Source organism: Homo sapiens, chromosome 12 (genome assembly GCF_000001405.40).
Source record: "Homo sapiens chromosome 12, GRCh38.p14 Primary Assembly".
Classification (NCBI taxonomy): domain Eukaryota; kingdom Metazoa; phylum Chordata; class Mammalia; order Primates; family Hominidae; genus Homo; species Homo sapiens.
In genome coordinates, this window is record NC_000012.12 from 42,425,926 (window position 1) to 42,450,831 (window position 24,906).

The 24,906-nt window shown below is 39.1% G+C and overlaps 1 protein-coding gene and 1 pseudogene across 37 annotated transcripts in view; one reads left to right on the top strand and one right to left on the bottom strand.

The window, feature by feature from the left end:
* PPHLN1 (periphilin 1) overlaps positions 1–22,696 on the top strand; it is a 122,455-nt gene extending 99,759 nt beyond the window's left edge. For 9 of the 37 annotated variants that reach the window (NM_201515.2, NM_001364822.2, NM_201440.2 and 6 more), the window contains one exon: positions 15,390–16,256. In NM_201515.2, coding sequence (NP_958923.1) covers positions 15,390–15,584 — 195 coding nt within the window. In that variant the 3' untranslated portion in view covers positions 15,585–16,256. Of the gene's footprint in view, positions 1–15,389; positions 16,257–16,715; positions 16,817–19,121 lie in introns of those variants that run through there. The other 28 variants (XM_011538459.2, XM_047428972.1, NM_001364823.2 and 25 more) reach the window with 9 other exon arrangements.
* On the bottom strand, positions 4,894–7,431 carry LOC100132797 (FMR1 autosomal homolog 1 pseudogene; annotated as a pseudogene).
* Positions 22,697–24,906: the final 2,210 nt, after the last annotated feature.

Here is a 24,906-nt window from a genome sequence, read left to right on the forward strand (position 1 = left end):
AACTTGCCGCCTCTGCAGGATAATTTGAAAATGTCCCATTTCAACCATAAAATGCTCTTTAACCAACCAAAGCATAAGTAGCTTACAGAATAATAATGCTTTTCCCAGCATGGGGCAGATGGCTGATCTGACCTATTTATTTCTATCTTAGTGGCATCCCTGAAGCTATATGGAAAAATAATCCACGTTTCAAATTTCACTAGAGGAATGACTTGAATAACTTAAAGTACAGTATTAGACTTGACACCACACACACACACACACACACACACACACACACACACACACACACACACACACACACCCTCATGCATTGTCTCATGGCAGTTAGGAATCATAATCAGATGACCTGCCTTCCAGACCCCTCCAAACCAGTTTCTTTACACTACTCTTCAAAACCAAGCAAGTTCATTTATCTTTGCTAAGGATTTAGTTCAGTCAGGGCTTCATTTCTATTTTGGATTTTAATAATTATCTTGAGTTTGTAGCAGCAGTATGATAAGGAGTGAATTTGAAATCTAGGCTATGAATGTTTATTGTATTTCTTACAGTTAACTCCTTTAATCTCTCTGCTTCACTATTTTTATAAAAAAAGGCCAATAACTCCAGAGTGCTTTTGAGGATTCTGGTACATAAAATAATACAAAGGTCTATATGAAAATGTTAAGTTAGTAACTTAATACTTCTAATTTGCCAGGAATTTTTAAATGTCATTATATTTGAATAAGCAAATAAAAAGACCTTTAGAATTGTAACCCACAGCCATCCTTAGACATGGAGACCTTTGCTAGGATTCCTCCCCATTCTCCAAAAATTGTTCTTAGGTGGTGAGGCCTCCCTGAATTGAGAACTCAACTCATTGGACCCAGTAACAGTTAAAACTTCTATGTTCTGAGACATAACTTCTGTATCTTCAGAAGATAATGCGACCTATATATTGAATTGTCTCTGACCTCTTTGGTGGTAGATGAGCTGGGAAGGAAGTGGAGGGGGTGGGTCTTGAAATAGCTAAGCTGCTTCCCGCTTAGTCATTCCTGCTGACAAATTTCTCTCCTGTTGGAGAGTAACTGGGTGGATCTCGCGCCGTGCAGGTTTCTCAAACCAATGTAAGACTTTTTTTCACTTCGAGAACTGGCTGTTGCCAGTTAATTACTTTCTTTTAGCCTTAGTCAGATCTAAAATGTGACCTTTTGTACAGTCAGGACATTGCACTTTTCTGATAATATTAAATTATTTCATGAAGACTGGACTACCTCATCTGTGAAATTGTAAAAAGATTTATTTGAAGTTATTGTGTTTAAAATTTTTCTTTGGATAATTCTCAAATATTTCTTTTGTAAGAAATAGCTGTATATAAAAATTAATTCAGTGTTTACATAAGAATTTTGCCTTTTTAAGCAAAAAGAAAAGTCTGGAGGCATCACATTACCTGATTTCAAACTATACTGTAAGGCCATAGTCACCAAAAACATCATGGTACTGGCATAAAAACAAGCACATAGATCAATGGAACAGAATAGAGAACCCAGAAATTAACCCAAATACTTACAGCCAACTGATCTTCGACAAAGCAAACAAAAACATAAAGTGGGGAAAGGACACCCTATTCAACAAATGGTGCTGCCAATGTAGGAGAATGAAACTGGATCCTCATCTCCCACCTTATACAAAAATCAACTCAAGATGGATTAAGGACTTACTTACATCTACGACCTGAAACTATAAAAATTGTAGAAGACAACTTAGGAAAAACCCTTCTAGACATTGGCTTAGGCAAGGATTTCATGACCAAGAACCCAAAAGCAAATGCAATAAAGACAAAGATAAATAGCTGAGACTTAATTAAACTAAAGAGCTTTTACACAGCAAAAGGAACAGTCAGCAAAGTGAACAGACAACCCACAGAGTGGGAGAAGATCTTTACAATCTGTACATCTGACAAAGGACTAATACCCAGAATCTATAACGAACTCAATCAAATCAGCAAGAAAAAAAACAATCACATCAAAAAGTGGGCTAAGGACATGAATAGACAATTCTAAAAAGAAGACATACAAATGGCCAAAAAATATATGAAAAAATGCTCAACATCACTAATGATCAGAGAAATGCAAATCAAAACCACAATGCAGTACCACCTTACTCCTGCAAGAATGGCCGTAATCAAAAAAATCAAAAAACAGTAGATGTTTGGCATGGATGTGGTGAAGAGGGAACACTTCTACACTGCAGGTGGGAATGTAAACTAGTACAGCCATTATGGAAAACGGTGTGGAGATTCCTTAAAGAACTAAAAGTAGAACTACCATTTGATCCAGCAATCCCACTACTGGGTATCTACCCAGAGGAAAAGAAGTCATTATATGAAAAAGATACTTGTACACATATATTTATAGCAGCACAACTTGCAACTGTGAAATCATGGGACCAACCCAAATGTCCATCAGTCAACGAGTGGATAAAGAAACTGTGGTATGTATATATACAATAGATTACTACTTAGCCATAAAAAGGAACAAATTAGTGGCATTTGGAATGAGCGGGGTGAGATTGGAGACTGTTATTCTAAGTGAAGTCACTAACTCAGGAATGGAAATCCAAACATCGTATGTTCTCACTCATATGTGGGAGCTAAGCTATGTGGGGTGCAAAGGCATAAGAAAGACACAGTGGACTTTGGAGACTCAGGGGAAAAGAGTGGGAGGGGGGTGAGGGATAAAAAAGACCACATATTGGGTGCAGTGTATACTGCCTGCTCAGGTGATGAGTACACCAAAATCTCACAGATCACCACCATAGAACTTACTCATGTAACCAAACATCACCTGTTCCCCAATAACCAATGGAAAGTTTTAATACTTAATTAAAAAAAATGAAGTTTGCCTTTTTAACTTCTTTTTTTTTTTTTTTTTAACTTAAGGGACTTTCTAAGTGACAGATATCGTTTAGGGAGCTGAATTGCCATCTTAAACTGTGATCTGTTTCATTATGATGGATGTTTTGGACATGACTTGGGAAATGTGCAAATTAAGCCTACTCCTCCTTGCTTTTATTAAATAATTTTTATTATTCTCAGACACGACAATATCAAAAGCCAAATGAAATTTTATCATATTGCACAATATTTGTACCCATTTTCTCAGCATTTAGAACTTTAAAGCCTATTTTATTATGTATTTAATTGCCTTTCATCCTGTGTTCATTATGAATATTTTTCTTTAGATTTAGCCTTTTTATATGTTTTGCATCTTAGAAATTCTTTTCCCAAGCCAGTAATTGACATTGAATACAAAATTACTTTTCTCAAAATTCACTGAGCAATGAATACATTGGTTTTTTTCCTAATCAACAGTCTTTAGTTGTTTGTTTATTGCCTTTTGAATGAGAGAAAAAATGTCTACAGTGTTTCTACCATAAGTTATTTTAAGTCTAAGAATTTGGTCTTTGCCTTACCTGCTCATGTCTAGCTCCATTTTGATTGCAGTCTACTATCTTTCCCAAAACTTCCCTATATTCCAAGATTCATTACTGTTTAAACACTCTATGCTTTTTTGCTTCCAAGGTGCTTAGAACAGTTCACGCTGTCTTAGTGCTCCCTGCAACTCCCATGATCTTTTATTTGGAATAATTACAACACTTTATATTTATTTTATGGCATTTACCATATTCTGCCTTGTTGTTTGGTTATTTTTAATGTGTTGGTCTTTTTACTAGAATGTAAAGTCCTTGAACAGAGCTTGTTGTACTCTGACCAATTCCAGTGCTTTAACATAGAAGGTGAGCTCTAGCTGTGTGGCAGGCACATTTATCTGTCATTCACACTCATGTCAGCATTTGCAGATTCATTAATATCTAACCCATATCGAGAAGATGCAAAGCTCATCCTCCAGGGTCAAAGCAGAACAGATCCATCTTCATTTTATTTTGAAAATTTTTGTATACCCATCACCTGGATTCTATAATTAAGCTTTTGCTCTATTTGTTTTGTCACTTATCTTTCCATTTCTGGATGTAATAAGAAATATATATTTGGCTTCTGCCCCCATTTCTTGGCACACAGCTTGGAATCTTAAAGTGATGTGTCTTTTTGTATGTGAATGAGGTAACCAATGGCCGGGGGAGCTCCTGGATAGCCTCTGTTTAGGGGCTGATTGCCCAGGGAAACCAACCATGTGTTTAGAGAGTTGGAACTTTCAGCCTACCCCCTTGACCTCTAAAAGGGGTGGAGAGGGACTGAAGGTTGAGCCGCTCACCAAAGGCCAATGATCTAATCAACTGTGTTTTTGTGATGGGTCTTCGATTTTAGCTGCTCTTCTCTCTCTGTCTCTGACACAGACACACACCCCTACAGTCACACACACACACACACACCCTTACAGTTGATACTTGAACAACTCAGGGATTTGTGATGCTGTCCCCCCGCCACCCTTAACATTTGAAAATTCAAATGTAACTTTTGACTGTCCCAAAACTTGACTACAGATAGTCTGCTGTTGACCTATCAATAACATAGTCAGTTAACACATATTTTGTATGCTATACATATTACATATACTATATTCTTTTTTTGGTTTTGTTTTGTTTTGTTTTTTTGAGACGGAGTACCCAGGCTGGCGTGTAGAGTGCTATGGTGTGATCTTGGCTCACTGCAACCTCCGCCTTCCCGGTTCAAGCAATTCTGCCCCAGCCTCCCAAATAGCTGGGATTACAGGCACCCACCACCACGCCCAGCTAAATTTTGTATTTTTAGTCGAGACGGGGTTTCACCATGTTGGCCAGTCTGGTCTCAAACTCCTGACCTCAGGTGATCTACCCACCTCAGCCTCCCAAAGTGCTGGGATTATGAGCGTGAGCCACCGTGCCTGGCCAATACACTGTGTTATCTCTTTTTTTTGGAAGATCAATGTTTATTTACTATCTGCATACAAAAACATATTGCACATCAAACAACTGAAATTAAACAAAACAAGATAAAAAAGATACTCTACTGAAGACTAACATGTAGTTTATATAGAATAAGCCTTCTGGAAATTAGTATTTTCAGTAGTTCCAGTTATGTCTGAATGGACATGACTAATTCAGCTTAGTGTTTTAACTAAAGCTATGTTTTATTTTTAAATACTGTACACTTTAATAAATAAACCAAACAAACCCTCAAGGTGGAACAGTCACTGCCAAATATCACCCAGTGTCCCTGCAGATGAGAGTTTAATAAATGTATTCCAGTGGTCTGCAGATTTTTCTCTATAAAGCATTTAAAAAACATATTAAAACAGACCAGTTTCCAAACTAAACTAATGGAGAAATTACAGTTCAGTGCAAAATATTTTAGACTGCATTTTATTCTAGTTTTCCTCAGATGAAGAAGTGGTTGCATATTAAAAATGTAACAAAAGCAGCCAGTGCTTTCATAAAGAATATTATGTTAGGGATCCCACCTCACCCACCACCCCCCATCTGCCATATTTTGAAAAGAAAATAACATTTCTTATAGCCAGCAACTTTTTTTTAATGTTACATATACTATTCTCAAGGAACATCTGATGATTTATAACCCAGTAGGTGTCAAAGTATGTTTAACATATGATTTATTCAGGATCCCTCCCCTTTTTGAATTCCAAATGGTAGAACTGAAAGTGCGATGCAAAGACTGGCGATCCATATTCTATCTTTGGCAAGCTTGTACAAGCACTGTTGTAAATGTAATGTAAAAGAACTGTAAACTAGGAACTTCTTCAGTTTATGAAACACCATTCAGGACTGCTACTTCTTGACTGTTTTCTTCTTTTAAGGTATTAATCTTTTCTTCTCCTGGAGTATGCTGTAGCTTAGAAATGTCATTGCCAGAAGCACTAGTCGGGCTATTTATTGCCTTTTCTGAAGGACCATGCTCTTCAATCACATATTTTGCCTAGCCCATTTTCAATAACTGAAGCTGTATCAGATTCAGTCATTCCATCCATCAGAACAGCATCTTCATCAGTCCTTCGTCTACGAGACCTCGTATGACGATTAGTACTGTGATGAGATTTGCTGGCATCAGTGTCTGCAGTCTGATCTGATTCTGATTATCAAGTACGCTGTATGGATTGCTGTCTGGATCTTTGGGCACAGAACTGATGGAGGATTTGCCACCACGTGGTCCACCACGACCTCGACCCCCTGAAACACTTCTGCATCTTCCTCCTGGGCATCTCCTGCTGTCACGCTGATGTCGGCTGTCTCGATCATCTTCTTCAATGACCAATCACTCAGCTTGTCTTTACCCTCAGATTCTATTTCAGAGGGGTTAGACAGCTTAGAATTTGTACCATAACTGGAGGTGTAATTAGGGCCCTGACAACCTCTGCCTCTTCCACTATGAGACCTAGAACCAATCTGTTATGGCTGCTCATTAATCTGTAGGCATTCCATTCTTAGCTGTTCTACTTCCTTTAGATAAGCAATATGGTACTCTAAAAGAACTTGCACATTTCCAATGGTTTCTTTAGTGCCAACAAATACAAATGGAATCATACTGTCTTCTCTGGGTAGTTTATTTTCACTGTCCCCTTCAATTCTCACCGGAACCATATCAGATTTGTCCACTATTTCTTGAATAACTTTGCCATTTTTTCCAATTACTTTTCCAGTGAGATTCTTAGAAACCTGAATAAAATCCTCCACAAATTCCAAGAAACCTCTAGCCTTTTTTACAGCACCAGCACTCTCTATAGATTCTAAATGTTCCAGTGTCTTCATCTAGCTCAATGCGGTAACTCCAGGAACCTTCCTAGCTTGCTGAATGTTACTACCATGTGTTCCTATTGCCACACCCATTAAATTTTCTCTCACAACAAATTCCTCAGGAAAAGCTGCTGCAAGTTGTTTTGTGCATTCTGAATGCTTAGTGATCTCTTCATTTCTGGTCATAAGCATCAGCTTCATACAAATACTTCACAAACGCATGTCACTCAAGATGTTTACTTTCTTCACAGTTGCTTCACTGGCAGACAGTGTCATTAGCTGTGTTGTTTCTGGATGGTAAAAAATTCTGCATGCTCCTACTGCTTTCTTAAAATCTTTATGTGCATTTTCATTAGCACACGCCTCTCTCATATCCTCAGGAAAATCCACTGTGCATTTAAAGACGGTATTTTTTTTTGACAGTTTTATTTTTATTGACAGGCCAAAGTTGTTCAAATGTGACTATTTCATTGTAAGTAGCGTCACAAGCAGTATATTCAATGACATAAAATTCTCCTTTCATCATCCAAACTTTAGCCACCCACCATCCACATGGCTCTTGGTCATTTGCTCTTGAATATACCTCTACTTCATCTCCTTCACTAATTTATTTTTTTATATCAGATGGTGGAGGTAATCTAACCTCATTAAATGGAACCTGGCATTCTGGTTGCCAATTATTTTCAAAAGCAACTGTAAGGGAGTTGCTTACTTAAGGGAGAATGCAGTGGTGCGTTCTCTGCTCACTGCAAGTTCTGCCTCCCGGGTTCATGCCATTCTCCTGCCTCAGTCTCCCGGGTAGCTGGGACTACAGGTGCCCACCACCATGCCTGGCTAATTTTTTCTATTTTTTAGTAGAGACGGGGTTTCACTGTGTTAGCCAGGATGGTCTCGATCTCCTGACCTCGTGATCCACCTGCCTCAGCCTCCCAATTGCTGGGATTACAGGCGTGAGCCACCGCACCCGGCCCACACTGTATTCTTAAAGTAAGCTAGAGGAAATAAAATGTTATTAAGAAAATAATAAGACAGCATATATTTACTATTCATTAAGTGGAAGTGGATTATCATAGAGATCTTCATCCTCCTTGTCTTCACATTGAATAAGCTGAGGAAAGATAAGTTGGTCTTGCCATCTTAGGGGTGGCAGAGGTAGAAGAAAATCCACATATAAGTGCACCCACTCAATCCAAACCTGTATTGTTCAAGGACCAACTGTGTGAGATGATAGATATTACTATCTATATGTATCCCATAACATGTTGTAAACCTTAAATACACACAATAAAATTTATTTTAAAAAAACATAACACCACCAAAAGTTCAGGGTTTGGAGAGCTTCTGGGTTGCTGAACAGGTAGAGCTGCTACAAAGGTGGTATACTCAGAGTGGGCACAACAGCTCCATACCTGTTCCCCCATACCTTGCCCTACATATCTCTTCTATCTGGCTGTTCCTGAGTTGTATCCTTTTATAATAAACAGTATTTGTGGAGCTGGAGACCATTTTCCTTAGCAAACTAACATAGGAACACAAAACCAAATACCACATGTTCTCATTTGTAAGTGGGATCAGAATGATGAGAATACATGGACACAAGCGGGGGAACAACACACACTGGGGCCTGTTGGAGGCTGGGGAATGAGGGAGGGAGAGTATCAGGAAGAATAGCTAATGGATGCTGGGCTTAATACCTAAGTGATGGGATGATCATAAAAGTTGGAAATAAAAATAAATAAATGGTATTTGTAAGTAAAGCACTTTCTGTGAGCTGCTCTTGCAAATGATTGAACCCAAGGAGGGGCTTGTAAGAACCCTCAGTTTATAGTTGCCTGGTCAGAAGTTTTGGAGGCCTGGGACCTGTGAATTGGTTTCTGTATTGGGGGTTAGTCTTGTGGGACTGAGTCCTTAGCCTATGGGATCTTAACCCAGTTGGTGTCTGCTGGGGAACTGATGTGTGGGCATGCCAGAAGTGAAGTGTTGAGTATTATGAGTGAGGGTACAGTAGGAGAGGAAATAAATTACTGTTTCTTTATGTTTTTGTTTTTGTTTTGTTTTTTGAGACGGAGTCTTGCTCTGTCTCCTGGGCTGGAGTGCAACGGCGCGATCTCAGCTCACTGCAACCTTGGTCTCCCGGGTTGAAGCAATTCTCCTGCCTCACCCTCCCCAGTAGCTGGGACTACAGGTGCATGCCACCATGGCTGGCTAATTTTTGTATTTTTAGTAGAGACAGGCATTCACCATGTTGGCCAGGCTGGTCTTGAACCCTGACCTCAGGCAATCTGCCCGCCCTGGCCTCCCAAAGTGCTGGGATTACAGGCGTGAGCCACCGCGCCCAGCCCTGTTTAGGTCTTACATTTAAATTTTGTGGAATCTGGTTTTGGCATTAACTATTCTGCAATGATTACATTATTTGGAATTATTTCTTTTTTATATGTGGAATTATTTCTTTTTGTCTAGTATATTATGATTGAAAAAACTAATAAGCTGAAAGGGATAAAAAAGTCATAATTAAGGATTAATCTTTGGTTGAATTCTATATATTTATAAATTGGTCTGTATTTGTGTATGAGAATTCTATAAACATTGATTGCTGAGGCTTTTTAGCATGTCCTTAATTTATAATTGGTTTTGCAGTTGCTTCCTTTTGTGGTTGTAATAATTTCACTCACATATTGAATGTAGGCACTATAGCTCTGATCCATGTGTTCATAATGCATTTCTTAGCAACCACCAGTGTTCTTTTTAGGAGCTGTGTTTTTAAGAGGCATTGGGGCTGCAGCTTTGAGGAGGACTCAAAAGATATCTTTTTCTATTAATACAGCACAAGCAGCAACATAGATTACAATAGTTTTGACACCTTCTGCATTACTATAGACCAAAATTAAAGGGTTTAAATTTATCTCCAGTATTTAATATCAATGTGTTATCGCTTTTTTCCTGGCCTCATCAACACATTAAACATTATGAATGGTTCCTTGTATATTACGCCCCAATTGGAGTTTCTTTTTTTTAACTTATTTTTATATACCTTTCATTAAAAGTTGTAGAACATTTTACAGATGCTAATTATATTTCACAATGCTCCTTTAAAAGTTGTAAGCTTTTATTTTCCACTTTAATGGTAAAATAGTTGCAAATATGTATTTAATTTACTAGATCACCACTTAACCATGACAACTTTCCCTTCTTTTTACTCCTCAGTCCTCCATGACAACTCTGCTAAATAGAATTGTCTGCAGTGATGAAAATGTTTTATATCCTCATGTCCAGTATGGCAGCCACTAGCGTTTGAAATAGAGCTAGTGTGACTGGGAAACAGAATTAATTCTATTTCACTAATTAAAAATAAAATATAGTCACATATGGCTAGTGGCTACTGTATTGGACAGCACAGCTCTCCAGTCTCCACCATCCCAACAAACTGCTATTGTGGTTTACCTGCTAATTGCCAAATCCAGTCAATATGTTTCTTTGATCTTTCTCTGGCATTTGATTGACTGTGTCCTTATTTTATAAACTCTTTCTTTGGCATCTGTGCCTTCACTGTCTCTTGATTCTTAATTTTTCTGCGGATGATATCGATGGTTTTAGATGTCTGCACTTGGCTCTTACATTGTCTTAAAGCACACTTTAGCTATTCATTCAACATTTACTGGGTATCAGTTTTGTGGTGCTAGGAAGAACTTACTCCCTCCTTCAGGAAATTCCCCTGGCCTCAGCTGGCATTACTGCTAAAGATTATAAAATCAATCTCTTCCTCACTTGCGTTTATTTCTTCAGAAGTCCAGACTCATGTACTTAACTTCCTATTGATAGTTGGTTCTGGTTGTCTCATGAGTGCCTCAAGTGACTACTTAGTACTGAACTTATCTCCACTCCTATATAAAAGCAAAAAACCTTCCACCTATTACTCTTCACATTATCATACATCTACTGCTTCTTAATTATAATATCCCCCCCTTATCCTTAGGGGATATGTTCCAGGATCCTCAGTGGATCCCTGAAACTCAGATAGTACTGAACCCTGTGTATACTCTGTTTTACCAATCCGACAACTGAGAGGGCTACTAAGTGACTAACAGGTGGGTAGTATATAAAGATTGAATATGGGACAAAGGGAGGATTTATGTCTTGGGCAGGATGAAGCAGGATGGCACAAGATCTCATCATACTACTCAGAACAGCATGCAGTTTAAAACTTAAGGATTGTTTGTTTCTGGAGTTTTCCATTTAATATTTTTGGACTGCAGTTTACAGCAGGTAACTGAAATCTCAGATAAAGTGGGGACTGCTGTACTTGTAAAGCCTCTAATCTCATCTTTCTTTCACACATCTTGTCATATTTATTGTCCTGGCTCTCAGGAGCAGGAACCCAAAGCATAGATTCTTGCTCATTTTTCTCTTCCTGATACATCCAAAGGTTCCAATTTCTACTTGTAGCTCTTTCCCTCTTTGTTAATTTATCAGTTGATGTCTAAGCTCCTTGAAGGAGCTCTTCATGATCTCGTTTCAGGGTGAATATCCTATGCTCTAGGTGTGCTAAGCCAATAGTATTTCCCCCAAACACCGTTTCCTTTTCCTTTTCTTTGTTTTCCTAGAGAGAACTTATCAACTCTAACACCATTTTCTACTACTCCCTTCTATAGACAAAGTCAGAACAGTTGTTTCTCCTCTTTCCATCATCATCACTATAGCTGCCTTAGATTAAATGCTTCCTATGTGTCAGGCACTATTCTGAGTGTTCTGTATTATCTTATTTAATTCTTAAACAGCACAGTCAGCTGTAGGTACTGAAACTCGGGCACAAAAGTTAAGAAACCTTTTTTTCTTTTTTCACTTTTGTGTGATTATTTTTGGGAAAAAAATTTAATTTTATTTTTTGGAGCTGTTTTAGATTTATAGAAAACCTGCAAGAGCATAGAGAGTTCTTATATGCCCGTTCTCCCTACACAGTTTCCCCTATTATTAACATTTTGCATTACTGTGATACACTTGTTATGATTGATGAACCAATATTGATATATTAATATTAACTAAAGTCCATAGTTTACATTAGGATTCACTCTTTGTCTCCTACAGTTCTGTGAATTTTGACAAATGTATAATATATCATTCAGTATCCTACCATACAGTCCCATACAGCATAATTTCATCTGCCTAAGAAATGTCCTATGTTCCACCTGTTTGTCCCTTCCACTTTCCCCTGGCAACTTATGATCTCTTTAGTGTCTATGGGTTTTTGTTTTTGTTTTTTTAATAACCAGAATGTCATATAGTTGGTATCATAGTGTATAACCTTTTCAGACTGGCTTCTTTCACTTAAGATTCTTTCGTGTCATTTTGTGGCTTGATAGCTCATTTCTTTTGATGAAAAATATTCCATTGTATGAGTATACTGCAGTTTGTCCATTTATCCATTAAAGAACATCTTGGATGCTTCCAATTTTTGGCAGTTATAATAATGTTGATATAAAGATTTGTATGCAGGTTTTTGTGTAGACATAAGTTTTCAACTTATTTGGATAAATACTTAGCAGTGGGATTGCTGGATTGTATGGTAAGACTGGGTTTTGCTTTGTAAGAAACTGCTGGACTGTCTACCAAAGTGGTTGTACCATTTTATATTCCCACCAACAATGAAGGAGAGTTCTGTGGCTCTACATTTTTGACAGAAATTGGTGGTGTCAAATTTTTTTGTGGATTTTAAGCTGTGGATTTACATTTAAATCAAATTTAAATTTAAGTTGTGGATTTTAAGCATTCTAATAGATGTGTAGTGGTATCTCACTACTCATCATCGTTTTAATTTTCAGTTTCCTAATAACAAATGATGTTGAACAATTTTTCATATGTTCATTTGCCATCTGAATGTCTGCTTTGGTGAGGTGTCATTCAGTTTTTTGCCTGTTTTATAATTGGGTTGTTTCTTACTGTTTTTTTGTTTTTTGTTTTTGTTTTGTTTTTTGAGACAGAGTCTCACTCTGTAGCTCAGGCTGGAGTGCAGTGGCACGATCTCAGCTCACCGCAACCCCTGCCTCCCAGGTTCAGGTGATTCTCCTGCCTCAGTCTCCCGAGTAGCTGGGATTACAGGCATGCGTCACCACGCCCGGCTAATTTTTCATATTTTTAGTAGAGATGGGGGTTTCATCATATTGGTCAGGCTGGTCTCAAACTCCTGACCTCGTGATCCGCCTGCCTCAGCCTCCCAAAGTGCTGGGATTACAGGTATGAGCCACTGCGCCCGGCCCTCTTATTGTTGAGTTATAAGTTCTTTGCATATTTTAGATACTAGTTTATCACATACGTGTTTTGCAAAGATTTTCTCCGAGTCTGTAGCTTGTTTGTTCATGCCCTTAACAGTGTCTTTCACAAAGCACAGATTTTTAAATTTTAATGAAATCCAATTTATTGGGGTTTTTCTTGGATTGTCTTTGATGTTATATTTAAAAGTCGTCACCAAACTCAAGATCACCTAGATTTTTTCCTCTGTTATCTTCTGTAAATATTATAGTTTTGCATTTATATTTAGGTCTGCGATCCATTTTGAGTTAACATATTTTTGAAAGGTATAAGATCTGTGTCTAGATTATTTATTTTGCATGTAGATAGATAACCAGTTGTTCAAGTACTGCTCAACTTGTTGAAGTTCAATGAAGTCTTGAACGTAACTGTCAAGTTGAAGACTATCTTTTCTCCATTGAATTACTTCTGTGCTCTGTTTTAAAAGATCAGTTCACTGTATTTGTATGGGTCTGTATCTGGACTGTCCTGTCCTTGATCTTTCTGTCTGTTCTTCTGCCAATGGCATACAATCTTGATTACTGTAGCTTTAAAGTAAGGTGTGTTGTTTTTTGTTTGTTTTCTTGTTTGTTTGTTTTGAGACAAGGTCTCGCTCTGTCACCCAGACTGGAGTGCAGTGGCACGATCTCGGCTCACTGCGACGTCTGCCTCCCAGGTTCAGCTATTCTCCTGCCTCCGCCTCCTGAGTAGCTGGGACTACAGACAGTGCCATCATGCCCAGCTAATTTTTGTATTTTTAGTAGAGACAGCGTTTCACTAACACTGTCTGTTTGTTGGCCAGGCTGGTCTCAAACTCCTGACCTAAGGTGATCTGCCTGCCTCAGCCTCCCAAAGTGCTGGGATTACAGGCGTGAGCCACCTTTACAGTAAGTTTTGAAATTGGATAGTGTCAGTCTTTTGACTTTTTTCCTTTTTTTCTTCAATATTATATTCATTATTATGGGTTTCCTGCCTTTCTGTATAAACTTTAAAATCAGTTTGTCAATATTCACAAAATTAATTACTGGGATTTTCATTGAGACTATATTGAAATTTATGTAGGTCAAGTTGGGAAGCACTTGTATTTTAACAGTATTGACTCTTCCTGTCAATTCTTGGGCTATCTCTCTATATCTTATTTATATGTTACTTATATTTATTTATATTAATACATATTTATATAGTTTATATTTTATTTATATTCTATTTATTTATATCTTCTTTCATTGGTATTTTATAGTTTTCCTCATATAAATCTTGTATATATTTTGTTAGACTTATACTTAAGGGTTTTTTTCCAGTGCTAATATAAATGGTGTTGTGTTTTAGTTTCAAATTACATTTGCTCATTACTGGTATATAGGAAAGCAATTAATTGACTTTTGTATATTAAGAAATCCTGCATCCTGCAACCATGCTATAATCACATATTAGTTCCAGTGGATTTTGTGTGTTATTTAGAAGTGTGTTGTTTAATCTTCACATACTCTGAGATTTTTCAGCTAGCTTTCTGTTGTTGAGTTCTAATTCCATTGTGATCTGAAAGCATACTTTATATGATACCTATTATTTCAAATTTAAGGTTTTATGACCCAGAATGTTGTCTAACTTGGTTAATAGTCCATGAGAACCTGAGAATAATATATAAAGTTCAAAACAGGTTTCACTGGACCCAAATCAGAATGTCTGCAGGGCTGCGTTTACTTTGGAGGCTCTAGGGAGAATATATTCCCTTGCGTTTCCCAGTTTCTAGAGGCCGCCACCTTCCCAAGTAGCTGGGGTTACAGACACGCGCCACCGCGCCCAGCCAATTTTTTGTATTTTTAGTAGAGATGGGGTTTCGCCATGTTGGCCAGGCTAATCTGGAACTCCTGACCTCAGGTGATCCACCCGCTTCCACTTCCCAAATTGCTAAGCTAACAGGTGTGAGACACCGCACCCGGCCACTAAACAGAATTTGTTATCTGATCATGATTCAAACAAAGAATCTAAAGTTAGGGGCTCAGAAACTTTTTTCTTCCAACAAATAAATGAACAAAGTCATTGATATGTCTTCCCTAGCCTTTGTTCTTATTCTCATCTCTAGTCTGATGTCCTTTGAGTAGACTGCCTTACACTGACAAATGCCATGCCAAACTTCTATATTCAGTAATGTAGTTTGTTAATGTTTTCCTTCTCATTCAGGTATTGTCAGCAGATCTCATGGATAGAGGTTTAAATGGCCTCTGGTAATAGTGACAATGCAAGGGCGAGAAAGGTTCCGCTTTCTTTTTTGTGTCTCTCTTTTAGATGTCAGCATCATAATTCTGCCAACTCAGTTAGCTAAGTATTTGGCTAGTTATTTTCATTCTCAGCTAACCAGAATGTGTTTTACCTTTTAGGTTTACCGACAAGACTGTGAAACTTTCGGGATGGTGGTGAAAATGCTGATTGAAAAAGATCCTTCATTAGAAAAGTCTATACAGTTTGCATTGAGGCAGAATTTACATGAAATAGGTGAGCGGTGTGTTGAAGAACTCAAGCATTTCATTGCAGAGTATGATACTTCCACTCAAGATTTTGGAGAGCCTTTTTAGATTTTTCTGCTCAGGCTAAAAAAAAAAAAAAACAGTTTCTAAAAATTTTTTTTCCTGGATTGTGTAAATCCTTAATATATGGAATTTTTGTGATGCAGAGAAATACTTTATGATAGTTGACAACATTTCAGTATTAAATAAACATCTAAAATAGTCTGTTTAAAATGTTTGATTCAAATTTTTGTATTTTTTGTAGAGATGGGGTTCACCATGTTGGCCAGGCTAGTCTCTAACTCCTGGCCTCAAGTGATCTGCCTGCCTCAGCCTCTCAAAGTGTTGAGATTACAGGCGTGAGCCACCGCTCCCTGCCCAACACATATACCATCTGAAAATGTTAGAATTCTGAGTTGTGATTTTATTGACTTGTTGCTTGCTTTTTCTTAGGCTTTGTAACTTGTAATATGTTAAAGTGTACTATCCTAATAAACTGAATACTTTGGTATCTTAGAGAATATTTGCTTTGAGAGTAATTCTCATTCAATGATAAAATAGAGCACTTAAATCTCTGAGAGATACCTCAGAAAAAAATCCGTTTTTCCAAGTAATGAACTCAGTGTCTTCTATTACAATAATCCTGAAACTCCTGACTCTCTCACTGATGTATGAGTCTTAAATAATATCATATACAAGACTAATAAATAGAAGATGCAGTTTGAGGTGGAAGGTGAGGGATATTTTAAGTTTCGGACTGTAGGAAATCAGTCAGGGTGGTAGGAGAAGCTATAAGGAAAGACGCAAACCTTCTTGGAAGGCTGGGAGGTTTTGCAAAGCTTCAGAGAGAATAAAGCTGAAGGCAGCTAATTCTCTTACCCCGAGGCTGAGGGCGAAGAGTAGGTAACAAGGTAGTGTAAAGAAATTTATCTAGATAAGTTTGTTTACATATGTCCTCCAGAAACCAACCCTTGATCAGTGCAAGACTGCTCCCTGCAAAGGGGGGCGACAATGTTCATTACTCACAAATTGTGTTGGCTTCAGGCCTTTGGCGTTCTGTCTGTACCGAATAAATACAAGCGGCTCCAGCTTATCAGGACTGCACTCTCTTTTGGGCTGCGCTAAAGCCGGCAGTCCCCTAGCCATTCTTACACAAAATACCTGCGTCTGAATACTCCTTTCATCCGGTCGCTCGGCCAGAGTCTGCAGGACAGACTTGGCAGCAGGTACCCCCTGTGAGGAACACTGAAATGGATCACGACGGAACCCCCGAAAACGAAGGCGAAGAGACTGCGCAGTCAGTAAGTCATTGGTGCCCGCTCGGGATTTCCAAGTTCAGGGGAATTCTCAAGCTAGGGTTTCATCATGGGACAACAGCTATCCACACAACAGAAACAGTATATAAAAGTATTGAAACAACTGCTTAAAGCTAGCAGAGCCTCGGTTTCGCAGGCTCAATTAAGGGACCCAGTGCAAACTGTTGTTTCCCATAACCCATGGTCCCCAGAAGAAGGCACGCTGGACCTAGAGCTTTGGGAAAAAGTGGGGAGAAATCTTAAACGATATCATGCACAAGGGCAATGGGTCCCAGTAAAATCTTTAACGTTATGGGCCTTAGTTAAGGCTACTTTGGCCTTGCTCTACACAGAAGAGCCTAAGAAGGGAAAGGAGGAGGAACCATCACCTTATCGCCTCCTCTTCCTCCCTCAGTCCTGCCGTTACCAGATAAAGATACCAAAGAGGAAACGGAGGTTTTCCCTGAGCCCCCTCCCCCAATAAATTGGAAAAAAGACAACAGATACACTACAGCTATGGGACCCTGTTTTAGGCAAGCGGCATTAGAAGGGGACCTCTTGGCCTGCCCAGTGATACAAAATTGACAAGGCAATCAAGTATATGAACCCATTACTTTTTATGCTTATAAAGAGATAAGAAAAAGCATTAGAGAAAATGGAGCTGCTAGTAGCCCATTTACGAAAGGATTAATTAAGGCCATAGCAGACAACTTCCATATAACCCTATAGGACTGGTCAGTGCTAGCTAAAACAATTTTAGAGGCCAGTCAGTACCTCCCCTGGAGGACAGAATTTGATGAATTATATAAACAGCAAACCTCTTTCTAGTAGTAGAACACTGGCCTTTAAAGGGAGAGAAATTACAACTGAGCCAGTAAATTAGTTGAGCAATTAAAAGCCGGCCATATAGAACCATCAAACAGCCCTTGGAATTTGCCCATTTTCGTCATTCCCAAAAGGTCTGGCAAATGGAGACTTTTGCATGGCTTACAAGCTATCAATGCTAATTTGCAATCTATGGGGCCCCTTCAACAGGCTCCCTTCCCCCGCAGCAGTTTCTCAAGATTGGCCTATAGTTGTTACTGACTTAAAAGACTGCTTTTATACTATTCCCCTTGCAGAACAGGACAGAGAAAAATTTGCATTTACAATACCAGCTATCAACAATGAAAGGCTAGCTCACCTATTTTATTAGAAAGTACTTTCTCAAGCAATGCTGAACAGTCCTACCATGTGTCAGTATTATGTAAATCAGGCTTTGCTCCCCAGGAGAAAAGAATATCCTAGTTGCAAGATTATTCATTTTATGGATGATATTTTACTAGCAGCTCCAATGGAGCCAGTACTTTTGAGTTTATATGCCTCTGTCATAAGGAATACACAGTTAAGAGGTTTAATCATAGCACCTGAAAAAGTACAGATGTCCTCACCTTAGAAATATCTTTACATACTAACTTCCTGGTCAATAAGACCTCAAAAGGTTAAATTAAATACTAGCAACTAACATACCTTAAATAATTATCAAAAATTGCTAGGCGATATTAACTATCTTTGCCCCACCTTGGGCATAACTACTGATAAATTACAGAACCTGTTTTCTATCCTAAAAGGCAGTATAGCCCTAGACTCTCCTAGGTATTTAACCCCCACAGCAAAAAGAGAAATTGAGGAAATCAAGCTATTTCTCAGAGGCAACTAGATCACATAGACCCACAATACTCAGTCCAATTGTTTGTTCTTCCTATTAAACATTTCCCCTACAGGATTAATAGGACAGATGGCCCCAGGGCTGCACTTCCTAGAATAGGTTTTTTGCTCACATACCAGGACTAAAACACTATCTCCCTATATCCAGCTAGTTAGTAAAGTCATCTATACAGACAGCGGATGATGCCATCAGTTGCTAGGTTATGACCCTGATGTCATAAGAATTCCCTTGAGTAAAAAACAATTTGAAGCAGTCTTGCCCCTATCTCTAGACCTTCAGATAGCACTCTCTGATTATGCAGGCCATATAAAACATGCCCTTCCTGCTGACAAACTACTTCAGTTCTTATCTAGTACTTCTGTAGTTATTCCTACAAAGGTAGTTTCCTCCCCCATACCTAACGCTGTAATGCTTTTTACCGATGGCTCTCGTAAAAATGGAAAAGCGGCTATCTGGTGGAAACCACATAACTCCCTCACTCCATCGAGATTTACTAGTACTCAGAGAGCTGAGGTTGGAGCCCTAATATTGGCCCTAGAAACTTTTTCTGTTCAGCCCATCAATATTGTTAGTGACTCTGCTTACTCTGTTTATTTATTGCAGAACCTTGAAACAGCCCTCATTAAGTCTACTCTCGAGCCGGCCCTGTGTGCCTTTTTTCTTTGACTTCAGTAATTGCTAAATCAATGTACACATTCTATTTTTATCACACATATTTGAGCCCACAGCTCACTGCCTGACCCACTGGCTTATGGCAATGATCAAGCAGACCTGCAGGTTATGATGTCACTGCTTAACCAAGCCACCCAATCACATCAATTTTTCCACCAAAATTAGAGAAACTTAACTAAACAATGTCAACTTACCCAGAGACTAGCTAAACAAATTATCCTGCAATGCCCAGATTGCCAGCTCACAGGCACGTCCCCTCCTTCAACAGGTGTTAACCCTAGAGGACTAGAACCTAATCAGTTATGGCAAACAGATGTTACACATGTCCCTGAATTTGGAAAACTAAGATATATACATGTATCCGTTGACACCTATTCTCACCTAATTAGCGCACATGCTCTTCCTGGAAAGTCCACCCCATCTGTCATTAAACATCTTTTAACTTTTATGTTTATGGGGCAGCCCACAAAAATTAAAACTTAATAATGGTCCGGCTTATGCCAGCTCACTCAACAATTTTGTCACACTTGGAGCGTCCAACATTCCACAGGCATCCCGTACAACCCCCAAGGACAGGCCGTAGTAGAACGTGCCCACTTCACCCTTAAAAATATGCTCAGAAAACAATGGAGAATATGAGTAAAGACCCTGCAACACTACTAGCACAAGCCTTACTTACCCTTAATTTCTGAAATTTAGATGATAAATTTCAGTCAGCTATAGAAAAGCACTTTGCTAAAACCTCTCCAGACATAAAACTGCAGTTTTATGGAAAGATGTAAATAGTAATATATGGCATGGTCCAAATGTTTTGCTAACATGGGGAAGAGGATATGCTTGTGTTCACATCCCCTCAGGCCCTCTTTGGATTCCAGCACGACGCATCAAACCATACCATAGTGGGGCTAGGACCCAACCAAGTACCAGAAATGAAGGAAACGACCCTGCAGGCCCCGCAGCCCCCGCAGGCCCCGCAGCCCCTGCAGCCCCGGAAGAAACGGGTTCGTCGGACGACACAGCTTCGTCGGACGACAGGAGCCCCAGACATTACCTGGGGGATGCTGAAGAAGACAACTCAGGAGGCTGAGAGGATCCTGCTCCGAACACAGACACCATTCACTCCAGAAAATTTGTTCCTTGCTATGCTCTCTGTTGTACATTGCAACTCACGCAAGGTATTGGTCCTTTTTATTCTCTCACTTTGCCTGTTACCCGTACCTACTATACCCTATTAAGCCCATTTTCTAAATCTGCCTTTTTTCAGCCCTATTCCCTTCCCAGCGTCTAGCAGTGTGACTTTTTAGCTAGGAGGGACTAACATACCCCCAGTGGGGTTCCTCAGTAACAGCCATATGGAAGGATATGCAAAAAAAAATCTCTCCTAGAAAGACCCCCACTCCTGGGGGTCGCTTCTTAGTTAGAAAAGAATATTACTAATTATACTCATGTTTGTCTCTTGTTGTTTACTAATTCTAGGATGTAAAGCCAGAAAACAAGCAGTAACTGCTATGCCTGACAAAACTGTTGCTGCACACATCTGTACTCGTCAATCAACAAAACCTGATGCAAAAAACAGAAAAGGGGTGATGTAGGAGATGGTCAGGTTGGTAGGAGAAGCTATAAGGAAAGACGCAATTGGAAGGTCGGGAGGTTTTCCAAAGCTTCAGGAGAGAATAAAGCTGAAGGCAGCTTTATTAATTAATTCTCTTACCCTGAGGCTGAGGGCGAACAGTAGGTAGCAAGGGAGTGTAAAGGAATTTATCTAGATAAGTTTGTTTACTTATGCCCTCCGGAAATCATGCAAGACTGCTCCCTGCAAAGGGGGGCGACAATGTTCATTACTCACAAATTGTGTTGGCTTCAGGCCTTTGGTATTCTGTCTCTACTGAATAAATACAAATGGTTCCAGCCTATCAGGACTGCACTCTCTTCTCGGCTGCACTAAAGCTGGCACTCCCCCAGCCGTTCTCATGCAAAATACCTGTGTCAGAATACTCCTTTCATCCATCACTCAGCCAGAGTCTTCAGGACAGACTCCGCATGGGACTTGTCCAAAAAAACTCTAATCAAAAGAGGAAAATTTTGGAATATGCCAGGAATAGTGGAATTTTATTTTTTAAATTTTTTTATAGGCCCATATGCTCTATCTCAAGAAACAAGATGATTGTAACATGTCCATGATTAAACTATTGGCAGATTATTGCTGTGTTAATCTCTGTAGTCTAATGAGTTCTTTGTTCTGTTCTGCTGCCTTTTACGTTTTCTTGTCCTTTCAAAAGTGTTCTTGAAAGAAACAAAGCGAATAGGCAGTTAGCACAGCACAGCTACCCCTTACCAAGCAGTCTATGGAAACAACCCCTCATCCAAATCATGGGTTAGTTAAGAATCTAACTGGGGCAATTAAGATGAATTCCACTCACTTCCTGGTCACTTCAGCAGCCCAGCGGCATTGAGCCAAAATATACAATTCTGTGTTATTAGTGAGGAAACTTTAAAACTCATGTTTGTTATTACTTACTACCCAATTTCATTATCCTCCCTTCCTCTTTCCATTTCTATTCTCTCTCACTTGAATTCTGGCATTATTTTTAGTGGCCTCTACTGATAATACCTACCCTAGAGTACATAAAAATTATATTAAAAGAGGAAGTAGCAGTATGCATAATTTTAACAGATTCTATAATGGGTGCCTCAAAATATGTATTGTGCCATTCCGCAAATTTAAAAGCTAATTGAGGACAATTTTTTTTTAATTTCCTAAATGAGACCACCTTGGATTTTTATTTTTGCCATTTAGATGTTTATACTTATTTAGCTTTTATAAAACATAAGCCAAGCTAAATCCCACATAACAACTCTGGTATTCTTCCCTCATATGAGCAGTGATTTTATTTGTTACCCACCTTAGATAGACTAAGAAAGTTCTAGTCTTGTTTCTCCTTCTCCCCGCTTCCCTGGGGTTTTTCCTTACCATAAGTATTCTGGTCCGAGGGTTCAGTTCCTTTAGTCAAGATGTCACAAGTTTAAAAACAAAACTTGAGAAACTACCAAAGGCTCAGGAGTTGTCCACTTTGTTGAAATCCATTAAATTAGAGAAGTCTCACTAACAGATGTATTTAAATATAGGTACAACAAATAATTTCTTTTTCTCCCCTTCCCCAAATTACAGTCAGCATTTAAAGCTGTTTATGGCTTGCCATCAGCATTATTCTGGTAGGCTTGTTAGTGTTAAAATCTATTTGATTTTTTTTTTTTTTTTTTGCCTCTTAAAGTCTAATTTTAGGATGGATGAATTCAGATGTTTACCAGAGTGTGTATTTTACATAATGTTCTTGATTAAAAAGACTTGTTTGTAAATTATCCGTTGTTTTTGCATATGCCCAGTTGATGTGATAAAATTTTCATTGTCTTGCCATATAAAGCCTTGGTTATCAACAGGTGGAATGTAGATATTGTAAAGCTTTTTGTGAATTAAAAGTGCAAAATAAAGCAACCACATTTAAGTAGATTGTCTTTTCTCTTATTTTAACAGGGTTAACGTATTTTGCTAAAATGTGAGCTTTATTACTCTGTACTGCAAGATTACTTCTTAGTCTTCAGTTCACCTACTCAGCAGCAGGATAGAGGAAGTGTGAGAATTGAAAAACTACAGCAGTGCCCCCTCATCTGTGGTTTTGCTTCCCATGTATAAGTAAACCATGGCTACCATTGTCCAAAAATATTAGATGGAAAATTTCAGAACAACTCGTAAGTTTTCAACTGTGTGCCGTTCTGAATGAAATCTTGCAGCACCGTGCTTTGTCCCACGTGAATCATCCATTTCTCTAGTGTATCCACACTGTATACACTACCCACCTGTTAGTCATCTGTACCATTTACTCCTGACATCCAGCCATTGACTATGTCATGGTTCCATGATCCAGGATCACCCAAAGCAGATGATCCTCCTTCTGATGTATCGTCAGAAGGTCATAGTAGTGCTCATGCCTGTAATCCCAGCACTTTGGGAGGCCAAGGTGGGTGAATCACTTGAGGTCAGGAGTTTAAGACCAGCTTGGCCAACATAGCGAAAACCCCGTCTCTGCTAAAAATACAAAAATTAGCCAGGCGTGGTGGTGGGCGCCTGTAATCCCAGCTACTCAGGAGGCTGAGCCATGAGAATTGCTTCAACCCGGGAGGCTGAGGCTGCAGTAAGCCAAGATCACTCCAGCCTGGGTGACAGAGCCAGACCCTGTCTTAAAAAAAGGAAATCAATAGTAGCCTCACGCTGTGTCACAATGCCTGCATCATCCACCTCACTTCATCTCACCATGCAGGCATTTTACCATCTCACATCCCATCATCAGAGGAAGAGTTGATTACAGTATATTGTTAAAATTGTTCTCTTTTATTGTTGTTAATCTCTTACTGTGCCTAATTTATAAATTAACCTTTACCATAAGTGTATATGCATAGGAAAAACCTGGTATATATAGGGTTTGGTATTATCCATGGTTTAAGGCATCCACTGGGGCTTTCGAGCATACCCTCCACACATAGGGGGTGCTACTGTATTCACTCTGGGGACTTAGGGAGTCTTCTGAGAAGTAGTTAAGAAAGGTGGCGCCTGATACAGTAGTACTCAATTGTTGTGTAATTATGAATCTGAATTTCAAAGAATTGTAGGATCAAGGTCCTCTATCTTTGTAATAACTCCTGGAGGGCAGGAAACTTGTCTTTGGGACTCCAGTTCTTAGCATAGTTTAAAACGTAGTAGATACTCATATTTGTTAACTTAAAGGGGGCTTCACAAAGGAAATTATATTTGACCCCTGGGTCTTGGAGGAATATGACTTATTCAGGCAGAGAGGGGAAGCATTTATTAGAAATCCAGGAGGAGGAAAAGGTGTCCTGTGTCCTGAAGCTGTGTGCTGAAGATGACAGGGGACGAAGGTGGGAAAAGGTAAGTTGAGAGCAGAATGGGAAGGATGTTGAATGTTTATAGCTTATTTACCCTTTCTCTCCTACTTAATGAAATTTGGAAACGTTATCTATGTAGTATTCTTGCAAGAGATGTGGATTTCTCATAGCCCTCAGCAACTTCACAGATCTAGAACCTCTTGAAGGAAGGGGAAGCCAGATCTCCTTAAGGAAAGACTCCGCTGTACTGCCAAAATATATTTTGGTTTCAGCTTCACTTCCAGACTTTCCTGTAATGGATCCTGAGTTCCAGGGAAGTCTCTGACAGTTCTTTGGCAACAGTTTTGGAGATGATGATCTGATCATCTCTGAAGTATTCATTCTAGACAAGATTCAGTGCTGCCAGCAGCCAGCCACCCAGGTTGCTTTATAGCTGTAACCCTGCTCAGGCTGGCTCGTGGAGTTCCTGAGAGTAATGGCCACTCTCTGCTTGCCAGGTCAAGGCTTGTGGGTTATGCATGATGTATTTGTCACCTTCTTCCTGCCTGTTCTCTTGAGAGCACTGATGTATCAGTTACCCAATTCAGTGGAAAAAAAAAAAAGGGTAGGGGTGGACCAGTAACTGAGGTAGTTAACACAATCTGTTCTCCCATTTTTTTCCATGGTAATAGGGGTTGACATTGAATAACATGCCTGCCTAACTGGGACTGTATTTGCTGTTTTCCTTGTAGTTTTAGGTGTGATGAAGCAACTAAGTTTTATGGAATTTGAGTGGAAATGCTGCTAATTCCAGGTTGGGAACCTGACAACAGTGACT